Raw genomic sequence first — 12,925 nt, forward strand, 5'->3', positions numbered from 1 at the left:
AGACTGTTTTACATATATACGTATTCACTGAAAACTTTTTCCTTTCCATATGGCAATGGAAAAGATATTACTGTCATCTTTTTTCAGGCAGACATTTTTCCTAGTATACCTTTTCCCTAATCATATAGGCTTTTGACGGTCATGACATTATGCAGAAGTCACTATACCGTGTCCCACTTTGAGCAGGCTCAAGAATCTTTTATTATTTTTTTTTAACCTATGTGATAATTAAAGGTCAAAGCTCTAGATTACTATTCTTGCCTATTGCACCAAGATAGCTTTTAGCTTCTTTGCTCAATTACCGTTCTGGATTTGCTTCTGTTTGGGGTCTTAATTTCTGAAGGATTTCTCATATTTTCTTGTGACATCAATTCTATACTGAGAAGGAGCTTAAAAATGGCTTTTGAGGGCATCTCAAGGAATTCTGTAGCTGGACAATTTGAAAGCAATTAGAATTTCATATCGCTGATCAAGGAAACCAGCGCAATAGCTTCAATTCATTTTTTGCTGTGGAATTCTGGAAGAATATGTAAACAAATAGAACACATGAGTTAAAATTTATTCTGGTGGTTATGGGATTGGAGGGCTTCAGCCTCCACTTGCTCACCACATCATCCCATGTACCAATAGAGAAAGCTAACAGAGTTTGCCAAAGAAGAATGATAGACTCATGAGAAAATGTCCCAAGTTCCCAAAAGAAACTTTGCAAAGAAACTTTGAGAAAAAATTATATGGTTAAGTGTGAGACTACCCATCTTCACTTGCAAATATTGTGGATTTACTGTACTTGTAGACCATCTTATTATGGACCTGAATAGAGAAACAGTGGGTTCGAGTAAATCTTGTCTGCAAGTTTTAAGAAGGAAGCCAATTCCATTTTGGAGAGGCATACCTTACGGGATATCTGTACACTGAGAAAAAAAAAAAGTGCTGTGCAAGGGATTGGGGCACTTTTTCTTTTCCTAAAAGGCATATGGATACCTGATTCCTGCAGTGTCAATAGCTTTCCATCCCAATGAAAGAACAACATGGACATCAAGATTTATCTTCACTTCATACCCATCAAATCAATATAAAAATCTGCTGCTTCCATGGAATGAGAATGAACCAAGTTTTACAGTAATGCCAATAAGATGAGCAAAAGAGAAAATGCTGAGAGTTTTTATTTAGGAGCTCTATCTAAATGGGATGTGCATAAAATATCAAGCATTTAGATGTGCTGAAGTTATAAGGAGATCGTGTTGGTATGAGGAACAAAAAGGGTCTTTTACTCCCAAAGTGACTATTTCATGCATTCTGTATAGTCTAGAGTGAGTCCATCTGTTCAGCACACCATTGCCCATTTTAAATAGCAAAACCAAAGCCACTGAAACCTCTGGGCTCATTTTAAAAATGAGTTAATGAACATCAAAGTGTAAGAGATGGATGATGAAAATGTACAACACTGTAAAAATCCTCCTGGCAAAATGTCCAATAGAGTAAATATAGCTCCTATTGCCTTCCTTCTGTCGGAGCCCTCATCTTTGCTTATGTGGGTTCTTGGTCACTGACACTCGCTAATGTTGCTCCTTGGCTGCTAAAATGGATCCTGCGTCCCGGCATGTCCACCTTCCCACTCTCTCTTTTGTTTTTTCCCTTTAATATATGTTTGTCAATTTAAGCAATAGCTTGGGAGTTTGATTAAAGCAATAGCTAATTCAAAAAGCTTAGATTTAAATATATTTTCTCAAAGGAAATTAAATAATATGGGAAATCCGTCTAATTATAGGAATTTTAAAGATTATAGCAATTTTTTTCTGATAAGCCACATGAATAAGAAGAATGAGCAGATTATAGAACAATTAAATAGATATAATATTTATTTATTTTACTGATGGTATGTATAGTCACTGACTACACATGATTGAGCTAGGAGTGGCCTTAGCTGATAATCATGAGGTCTGTTTTTCTTCATCTTCTTCATTCCTGGAGTTCTAATCTAAAAGTTCTTTGTCATATTCAGCAACATTCTAGACACTACCTTTGTTTTAATCCTCAGGGTGTTATATATCCCTTGTGCTGAACCATTCTGACCATGCGTCTCATCCTAAGCAGCTTGAGTCATTTTCCGTATTCAATGCCTGTGAACACCTGTTTTGACTCCGTGAGGTCTCTCCTTGTTTCCTCTTTTCAGGACCTCTTTTCCCTTGAGGATGACTGGAGTTTTCCTGTCCTGTGTCAACTTAAAAGTAAGCCAGAAAAGCAAACAAATAAGTAAAGCACCCACTGAAAAACAGTTATTTACAGGGTATTATCAAATCCTATCAAAGTATTGTAGCTTCACACTGTCTCTCTCAGTGTTAATTTATTTGTGACATTTATCATTACCTGAACTTGCATATTCATTTGCTTTGTGTATGGTCAGTAAAATCCTGATCCTGATCCTGGTCAGTAAAATCCTGATGAAAACTCCATGCAAGCTGGGATTTTATCTGTTTTCTTCACTTTCAGGAATATCTATGCCCAAAACGGGTCCCATCACAGGGCATGTGATCAAAGATCTTTGTTGAATGAATGAATGGCTGGCAAAATATGGATGTGAGTCAGGAACTCACTTTAAATAATTCCATGAAATATAAGACAGTTGTCAGTGTTGCCGATGGAAGATCCCAAACACTATTCTGGGCAGTTAGAGCAATTTCATTTGGAAGTTAATGAATATACATTTTAAAAAGTGCTGATTTCTGTCACTTTTCTCCAAAAAGTATGCAAATAATTGGACAGAAAATCAAAGGTGACTGCATTTCCTTTAATGCTCCTAGGCTCTGTAGATGTGTTGTATGAAAATCATAAACATGATAAATAGAAAGATTTCTCACCTCTTTTAATTCAGGCTTGAGTAATTGACATTCACACTAAGTCTTTAAGTAGAGGGAGAGATACGTAGGAAAAGGACTGAAAAGTAAAAAAGCAAAAAGTGATTACACACACACAAAAATGACACCTTTTAATCTACACTTTTCACCTATTCTTGCCATGTGAAGGTTTGCAACTGTTTATGTCATGTTGTCTTAAATGTAATGATGATGATAAAGTTAATAATAATTATGGTAACATTTACCTATATGAATTATATTTCACATGTATAAACTTATGCTATGTACTGCATAGATTACAGGAGGTGTAGCACCAGCACACCCTGTAAACCCAATTGTTAGGGCCCTGTCATTTGCTTTCTATTTTAAAGCTTCCTAGTAGAAAAAAGACGTAGGATTCAAGGAACATTAGCGAATAAGATATTTGTAGGTCTTACAACTGTCTAAATTATTATTGATATATTGGCTGTTAATCTTAAAACAATTGTTAAAGAATGATTTGTAAAAATATGAAGACACAACACACAGTTATAATAAACTGAAAGTAAAAGTCTAGATGATTTCACCGAACGTGGGAGGGCATTGGACACAGGAGAGAAATAGAACAGGAAGGTAAGAATTTTGCCTTGGTTTGAGGGAGGTGTTAAATTCATTTTGAATGTGTGTATTAGTTTCCTAGGACAGCCATAATAAATTACCACAAACTGGGTGGTTTCAAACAACCAAAATTTATTCTTTCACAGGGCTAAAGGCCAGAAGTCCAAAATGAAGATGTCAGCACTGTTAGTTCCTTTTGAAGGTTCTGAAGGAGAAACCCATTGCATGCCTCGCTGTTAGTGTTTGTGGCAGCTGTGCAACAGTTTCCTGGTGTTCCTCGTGCTGTAGCTGCATCACTTCAGTCTCTGCCTCTATCTTCATAAGGCCTTCCCCTCTTGGGTGTCTATCTCTACCTATTTTTTTTTTTTTTTTTGAGACGGAGTCTTGCTCTGTTGCCCAGGCTGGAGTGCAGTGGCGCAATCTTGGCTCACTGCAAACCCCACCTCCTGGGTTCAGGCCATTCTCCTGCCTCAGCCTCCCGAGTAGCTGGGACTACAGGCACCTGCTACCACGCCTGGCTAATTTTTTGTATTTTTAGTAGAGACAGGGTTTCACCGTGTTAGCCAGGATGGTCTTGATCTCCTGACCTCGTGATCCTCCCGCCTTGGCCTCCCAAAGTGCTGGGATTACAGGTGTGAGCCACCACGCCCGGCCTCTCTACCTCTTAGAAAGACACCTGTCGTTGGATTTAGAACCCACCCTAATTCAAACTAGTGTCCTCTTGAAATCCTTATGTAAATTATATCTAAAAATACCCTTTTTCCAAATAAGGTCATATTCACAGGTTCTGGGAAGGAGTATGTTTTTGGGTGGTCCCAATTCTACTACTCCAATGTAGTAAACTCTTATAACATTTACAATATGTCAAGCACTAGGTGCTTTATATGTAGGAACTGATGTAATCTTCCCCTATGAACTATGTACTATTTTCCCATTTTACTGATAAGAAAAATTGCCCCAGATAACACACAGGAGGAGTAAGTGGTAGAGTAAGGGTTAGAATCTACAAGTCTAATTCTAAAATTTATGTCTCTAACCGATTTGTTAAGTTTAAGTGCTACAAATGAACTACATACAATAAAGGATGTAAAATCCTTTGTATGCTATCCAAACAACTAGAGGAAATTAAACTGAAACAAAGAGTACTCCATAAATTCTAAAAAAGGCAGAAAAATTCAGAAAGCCAAAAAAGAGCATAGAGAAGAAATCCAAATAAGATGGCTGATATAAATTCAAGTAAAATATGGAAATTCAAAGAAAACCAAACAATAATTTAAAACAAATTTCTACAATATGCTTTTTAAGAAATGAGATAGAGGTATGACAGTCTCATTTTAACGAAAGTAAGGAGTTACAATATTTTTTATAGACTGACCAGAGAATATTTAAAAATGTTCATCACACCATGTGATTCCCAGGTTCAGAGCCATGTAATGGCTTCTTCCTGTATTTCGAATAAAATACCAACTCCTTCAATGACCTACAAAGTCACAAATCATCTAGTTGGTCCCTGCCTAATTTTATACCTTGTTTCCTCCTCTCTGGATATCCCTCCCTATGTTATGAGTCCACTGAGAATGTTATTAGCCAAACTTATCCGTATACTCACTCTTCTCTTTGCCTAAAATGTTCTCTCTCTGGCACTTCCCTGACATGATTTCCTGTCCATCATTCAGATCTAAGATCAAAGATCACTTCTTCAGAGATGTCCTCCCCATCTTACCTGAAGTGACTCACTGTTATGCTCTACCACTTTTCTTTAACTAATACCTTCCCAATATTCCAATCACTTGATATTATTTATTTGTGAAAGTCATATACAATTGTTTACAAAGCCATCAATTTTACATCACAATGACCTATTAAATGAATACCTCTACCTCCAGTCCATGGCACCAAACTAATCCATGCCACCAGGAAATCTTATACAGGATGGCACCTAAGGTCAGTCTTAGAAGATAAGCAAAGCTTTAGCCTTTAAGTTGGGTAAATAGTGGTAATTGGTGAATGAATTTCTAGAGAATTTAAGTATATCCTAGAAAACATGTATTTGTATTTATATATGTGCATACGTACATATTATAACTATCCACACATACATGTACATGTGTGCACACAGAGAGAGAGAGAGAGAATATGAACAGTGATCATACGTTGTTGACCCTCTTTCAGTCATATCATGAGAAATCACCAACAGTATTATTCCAAATATCATCTGTTTGCCCTTTGGGTCTACTCTGCCTCCTCCTTCCAACTGCTTGATGCCAGTATGTGTGATCATATCAAAGGGCACTCTTGTTTTCTGGATTTCACTGAAAAGAATAAAGGGAGGTTGGCAATGATTCTAGCCTGAGAATAAAACACTCTCCTATGTGGGCTCCCTATACCCTGCCTTCACCTTTGAAAATAGTCCTCCTGTTAAACTCTGCTCAAATTAGTTCAAATGTGTAATTTGTTTCTTGCTGGGGCACTGACTAATACACATGTATTTCCTTTGAGCATTTCCAAATGCCAAGAGTACGTGCTTCATTTTTTTCTCCCTGCAGTTATTAATTGAGTGCCTACCATGTGCCAGGCACTGTTATAGACCATGGGGACATCCAGTGAACAAAGTAGAGGAAAACAATTGTTCTTATGAAGCTTACACCCCATTGTCGGAGATGACAATGAACACAATAAATATGCAACATCATATTAGATATACCAGTTAGTATTATGAAGAAAAAATAAAGATAACAATGTTGGGGTGTGAGGGGAATTTAAAGTGGGCATGGTCATGAAGGCTTCCACTAAGAAAGTTACATTTCAACAAATACATCAGAGCTATAAGGATCTAGCCATGAAGCTTTTTGGGAAAAGAGCATACCAAGCAGAGAGGATAGCAGAGGCAGATGGCCCAGGACAAAAGTGAGCCTGGTGTTTTCAAGGAGTCATGAAGACGCCAGCATGATGGAGTGGAGTGAGTCAGGCAGGAGAAGAGGTGAGGAAGGTAGATCCCACAGGACCTAAAAGCCACTAGAAAGACTGGATTCTACTCAGGGTAAAAAACAAAAAGGAGCACACTAGAGCGTTTGGAGCTCTGACACCATCTGACTTATATGTTACAATTGTAGTTGTTGTATTTGTTTGATTTGTGGTGTACGTGCAGTGTGTGTGTGTGTTTTGGTTGTTGCATTTGTTTGATTTGTGGTGTATGTGCAGTGTGTGTGTGTGTGTGTGTGTGTGTTTGAATAGACTAAAGGAGGGAAAGAAAAAGTATAAATTAAAACTTATTTAGGAAGTTAATAGCAATAATGCAAGCAAATTAAAATGATGGCTAAGACCAAGTTAGTGGCAAAGGAGTTTGTGACAATGTGGTATGATAGAGATTCAAGCTATATTTTGAAGGTAGACTCAATATGATTTTCTGCTAGATTCATTCATTCAAAACATATTTATTGAGTGTTTTCTATGAGCTAGCATTATGCTAGGTACTCGAGATAGAATTGTGAACAAAACAGAGATCCCTGCCCTTATAGGATTTGAAATATAATGTTGATATGTAGGCGGTAAACATTGAAAAAAATAGAGTGTAAAGTATGTTACAAATTGTTCCATGCAATGGAAAAAAAAAAGGGGGGTGGGGTAAAGAAGAGCAACTGGGTTAAAGTAATAAATGGCCATGGTCTGCCTGCTTGAGTAGATGACTTTTGAACAAGCGTGTCAGGGAAGAGAGAGAATCAGCCAAGAGGATATTTAGGTGACCAGGTCTTTAGATGGAGAGCACAGCAAGAGCAAAGGCCATAGGGTAGGCACATCTGGGGGTTTAAGGAGCCACCGGGAGGCTGGAGAGGCTGCAACAGTATCAAGAAGGTATTAGAAGAGGACTTGAGAGAATTAACAGGTTAAAACTAAAAATGACCTTGTAAACACTGGTGTAAATAAAACTTATTTTAAAAGTTAACAGCAATAACCTAGGCAAATTAAAATGATAATTTGGGTTTACATTCTGTGTACAATGAGAGCCACTGAAAGGTTTTGTGCAGAGGAGTAGCAAGATCTGACCGTTGCTTTAACGTGATTACTTAAATTATTGGGACTAAGTTCTGGATGGCAAGCATTGAGAGTAAGTTCTGGGTAGCAGGATTTGAAGCACATAGACCTGCTGGTGAGGTAGGATTTGTTGAGGGGGGGGCGGAGGATGGAGCCAAGGATGAAGTTGCCACTTAAAGGTGTGTAAAGACTGAAAGGAAATTAGGTTAGAGGGAGGATGGTAGGAAGGTTAGGATCACCGCATTGGACATAATAAGATTGAAATGACTATTCATGTTTCGCTATTTTTTTGTCATGTAGAGGGACTTCTGGTCTCTCTCATTCCATAGCGGCATACAGTTTGACAGCTGAGTTGGGAAAAAAGCAACTGGGTATGCTTAGCTTAGCCAGCACTTTGGTCCTCTTATTTTGGGACCCACCTTACTTGCAGGGGGAAAATGTGTTTTCTAATTCTCTGTAATGTAAGTTTTAAAGAGTCAGCCCCCCAGTGCGGTGTCTATGTCTGTTGAGCAATTGTGTTTGACTAGATGAGTAGACTGAAATATCTGGTGAAGCGTTAGCAAGTCTAGCTTGCTACAGTTCCATAGAGACTTTCTCTAAAGAGCTTTATATAGAATGAACAGTGATGACTTGAATCTCCATATTGATAGTCTCCATGTCAATCTGTCAATCCTTTTGAAACTTGGGGGTGGTGGAAGATGACATTATTCCTCTGTCTTTAACCTAAAGATTTTTTAAATGAATACAGAAAGAATTTTACACTTAAGATTATTATCAAGAGGCAACTTTCACATCCAAGTCTCCTCAATTTTGAAGGTAAAATTGAATTTGACCTTTAACTAAAGATCAATTCCACTGGGTAACCAATTTGGACTGATTCCACTGGAGATCACCTAAGAGTATTCTGGCATTGTAAATTGCCATTAAAAGCCATCAGCGCTATAATTCTTTGAGAAACAGATAGTTATGTGAGAGTCATATGATGGTTATTGCTTTATGATTTAGATATTATTTAATGAATAGTTGGAAATATCTATCAAGTCTAACTTGACAAAAGAGGACAGAGAGGACCTCCATCTCAGCCAAGACTACTTGGGGAAAATGCTGTAATTTCTAAAACCATATCCTTTAAGCTGATGATAATAGCACATTACCCATTTGCTTTACGTCTCTGATTTAAAATTATCAAAACCCTTTGCAGTGCTTTACTTCAGTCTTATGCCTTCACTAGCGGCACAGATATACATCATTAGGGCTGCCCATCACCGCCATCAGAGGTCACTCTAGCGCAGAGGTTTCTACCTGTTTTTTGTGCAGTGGACCATTTTGACAATCTTTTGAAACCTTCCAGAAAACTAGTTTTAAATACATGGGAACTCAAGGTAAGAATCATGTTAAAGTAAGTTGTATTTCTTTCAAGTCTACCCATTTTTCTCATTTTGCCAAAACTTGAGACCTAGTCACAAGTTTGTGGGCATTTTTGTCCACCAAGAGTAGCATTACTGTGTTAGTTACTTACCATTGGCCTATAAGATGCTTGGTTCATCTATGTTGCTCACAAGCATCATAAACATTATTTTTGCTGTGAATATCTCATGGCTGGTGTAAATTCTTTGCTAGATTGTTTGAACTTTTTCATGGTCTTATCGATTCAAATTCCTATAATGTTTCTGGCAGTTTATAGTTTAATGGAATATAACGATGTATATGTCTTTCCCCTACAATGTACATATTTACCCTTATTATTTAACCAGTACTTCTTGACTATATTATTGCAGACACAGGCACTATTCAACATGCTAGGTATTCAGTCCTGAATAAGACAAGATAAGAAAATAAGAGAAGGAAAGAAGGAAGAGAGGAAAGGAAAAGAAAGGAGGGAAGGAAGAAAGGATGAATGGAAGGAAGGATGGAAGGATGGAAGCAAAAAAGGGAGGGAAGGAAGGAGGAAGAGAAAGAGGAAAGGAAAGAAAAGAATTATAATGTTAAGCTATGATGGCAAGATAAGAAGTAATAGGAACTGAGAGTGAGAGAGATGGACAGGAAAGAATTCTTTAAGTAAATGACATGTGAATAAAGAAATAATATATGACCCTGAAAAATAATGTATTGTTGACAAAAACCAAATTTACTTAATTAAGCATACTCATACTTACATACAAGGTTAAGTTGTTCTGCCTTATACCAGAAGGAAGGAGCTCCCTGTGTCTGCCATTCCCAATAGGGTAACAATGAAGACACCTATTGCAGAGTCAACGTCTGGCAAAATTGAAGTGGTGGCTGACCCACTCTAAGCATAATAAGGCACCTGATGAGGAAGTGGGCAAGTTCCCAGGAGCATTTGACTTGAGTATGTTTCCCCATGTACTACTATGCACTACTATTACATAATCTTCTCTTCTTTCTAGATACCTTTACTCCAAAAAATCAGCTTCTACATCAAACAGTAAGGGCTCTTCTCCTTCTGAAACCCATGGGAGTGAATCCTTTCTTGCTTCCTCTAGCTCCTGGTGATTTGCTGGCAATCTTTGGAATTTCTTGACATGCAGCTGCACACAGTAATTTTTGCCTCCGTCATTATATGGTGTTCTCTCCTCATGTGTCAGTTTTTATATTGTCTTTTTATAAGGACAATAGTCATATTGAATGAAAAGCCCACACTACTCCAGGATGACCTGATCTTAACCACTTAGGTCTAGAATGGCCCCATTTCCAAATATTGTCACATTCTGTGGCCCTAGTAGTTGGAAATTCAACATATATTTTGGGGAAATGCAATTCAACCCACAATGGTCATTTCTAAAGTTTACACAAAAGGCCACGCATGGTGGCTCACACCTGTAATCTCAGCACTTTGGGAGACCTAGGAGGGTGGATCACCTGAGGTCAGGAGTTCAAGACCAGTCTGGCCAACATGGTGAAACTTCGTCTCTACTAAAAATACAAAAATTGGCCAGGCGTGATGGTAGATGCCTGTAATCCCAGCTACTCAGAGCAAGACCCTGTCTCAAAAAAAGAAAAAAAAAGTTTACACAAAAAAATGTGAAGTACTTAGCAACCAAAGTGAATGGAAAGAATACAGGTCTAGCAATTTAGATAGCTAATTATTTCACTTTTTTTTTTTTTTTTTTTTTTCCCAGGATGGAGTCTTGCTTTGTCGCCTAGGCTGGAGTGCAGTGGTGCGATCTTGGCTCACTGCAACCACCACCTCCCAGGTTTAAGCAATTCTCCTGCCTCAGCCTCCGGAGTAGCTAGGATTACGGGCACATGCCCCACCGCCTCCTGGCTATTTTTTTTTTTTGTTTTTGTATTGTTAGTAGAGACGGGGTTTCATCATGTTGGCCAGTTTGGTCTCAAACTCCTGACCTCGTGATCCACCCGCCTCGGCCTCCCAAAGTGCTGAGATTACAGGCATGAGCCACCACACCCGACCAATTATTTAACTTTTTACATTACCATTTTTGCATTGTTGATCTTAGAAGATTGCTAAAATGTCTTGATTCAGTCTTATCAGCCAAAAACAAATAGTAGTATTAACTATTTTGCAGAACTGTAGAAATAATATAAATAAAATGGGAGTATATAGAAACTCAAATTCCTGTTCAGTTGTTTGTGTAATTATGATTGGCACTAAAAATGAACTACAAGCCTAAGTAGATATTGCAAGTTGTTAATTCTTAAGAATAAATAGAGGTCCTGACTAAAAATTTTTACTGAAGATTAAAAAAAAGAAGATGTGCTTTTCTATATTGAGGTCAAAACTTAAAATTAAGATGATCCCTGATATACTTCCACTGCAAGTCGAATTGAATCAATGAATGAATGAAAAGTCAAAAAATCACCAAAAAAAGGAAGGAAAAATGGCCTAATGCTTGATTTGCAAAATAACAGTCAGTATAGTTGCCAAAGAGAGATCAGTATTTCCCAACAATTACTTATCTTGAAGTTAAAGCCATGGCTTGTAATTAAGAACATACTTTTCATCAAAGCCTGTGCTGACTACCTCGTATAAGTTATGTCCACCCCTGGTAGTCTATCATAGCAGGTAGCTCTTTCCTCTATAACATCTATCATAATTTATAATTATATATTTAAGTCAGTGTTTGCTTGTCTACTCTGCATTTCCCATATTAGATCTTAAGTGTCTAGAAAATGAGGGCGATGTCTCTAGCCCCTAGCGTAGTGACTGTCACACAGAAAGGGCTCCATAAATATCAGTTTAATGAATAAATGGATTGGTGAGTTTATGGATGAATAAAAACATTATTACTCTCTCTAGACATCCTCATTTGACAGATTTCTCTTCGGCAAATATAACACAATAAATCGTACATTTATTCACATGCCATTACAGGGAGATATTGGATAAATTCATGGGACTTTGTTGGAAAAATCCTTTAAAATTTTTCAGCAACAACATATTTTGAACATCAAGGATATCTGTGACTTGTTACAGTTCTTTCTTTTGTGTCTGAGGAAAGGTACACATCAGAACTGTGGAGCTGAAATACTGGAAAAAGAACAAAGCAAAGCAAACAATGTTAGTGCAAATGAATAAGAAAAAGTCGAACAAGATATAGATGAAAGTGAAAGGCAAATTAAGCCAAAGTCCAAAAAATATGAAAGGATAAATATGGAGATATAAATAAGCCAGGTTAAAAAACTTAATGAAATAATTCACATTTCCACAGTTTGGCCCACAGTAAAATGTTTTACCTGATTTTTCATTACTAAACACATTGGTTAATATCCCCAGTGAATTTCTACCTTGTAGCACTCTTCTTCCCTCCTCTATGCCTAGAACACCTCCACTTGCCTGTCACTAGTTTTCTCATTGTATTATCTCTGAAAACCCCATTGAGATTCCAATTTCTCCATTACAACCTTCTTGTTTAATCTATTGAAGAGTTTGAGACTCAGGGGTGAAGAGACATGGAAGTTCACACAATTAGTGACAATGCCAGGACTAGAATACAAAAAGAGAATTCTTTCTACTGTGTTCCAAAGTCTACGATTTCTAGCAGTCTTTACTCTAAGACTTGAAATAGTTTACGCTATTGTCAACTGAGCCAGACCATGTCTATCTACTTGGGTCAACAGAAGGAACAGGAAATGTTAGCAGAGGGAGTGAATCTATTCGATGATACTTACTGTCAAACCACAGGTAAACATGATAGTGCCATCTAGTATATTTATATCTTTTCAAATATGCAGAATGAGGTAGATAAAAGAAAACTCCTAAGGAGTCAAAAGGTAAAAATGGCCCAAACATACAGAGATACATAAAAACTCTTAATTTCAAGGGATACATTTATGGGCACACAAGCAAAACTGAATGAATAAACTCCTATTCAATGATGTGATTTGCATGCCGTACAAAATGTATAACTTTAAGGAGATAATTTCCTTTTTGTTTCTAATCCATAACATAATTCTCATTA

At 37.3% G+C, this 12,925-nt stretch overlaps 1 long non-coding RNA gene across 1 annotated transcript in view; it reads left to right on the plus strand.

Moving 5' to 3' along the window:
- The window catches only part of LOC105374524 (uncharacterized), a 507,306-nt gene that overhangs the window by 291,240 nt on the left and 203,141 nt on the right, over nucleotides 1–12,925 (plus strand). The gene's annotated exons all lie outside the window — the stretch shown is intronic.

Source organism: Homo sapiens, chromosome 4 (assembly GCF_000001405.40).
Source record: "Homo sapiens chromosome 4, GRCh38.p14 Primary Assembly".
NCBI lineage: Eukaryota > Metazoa > Chordata > Mammalia > Primates > Hominidae > Homo > Homo sapiens.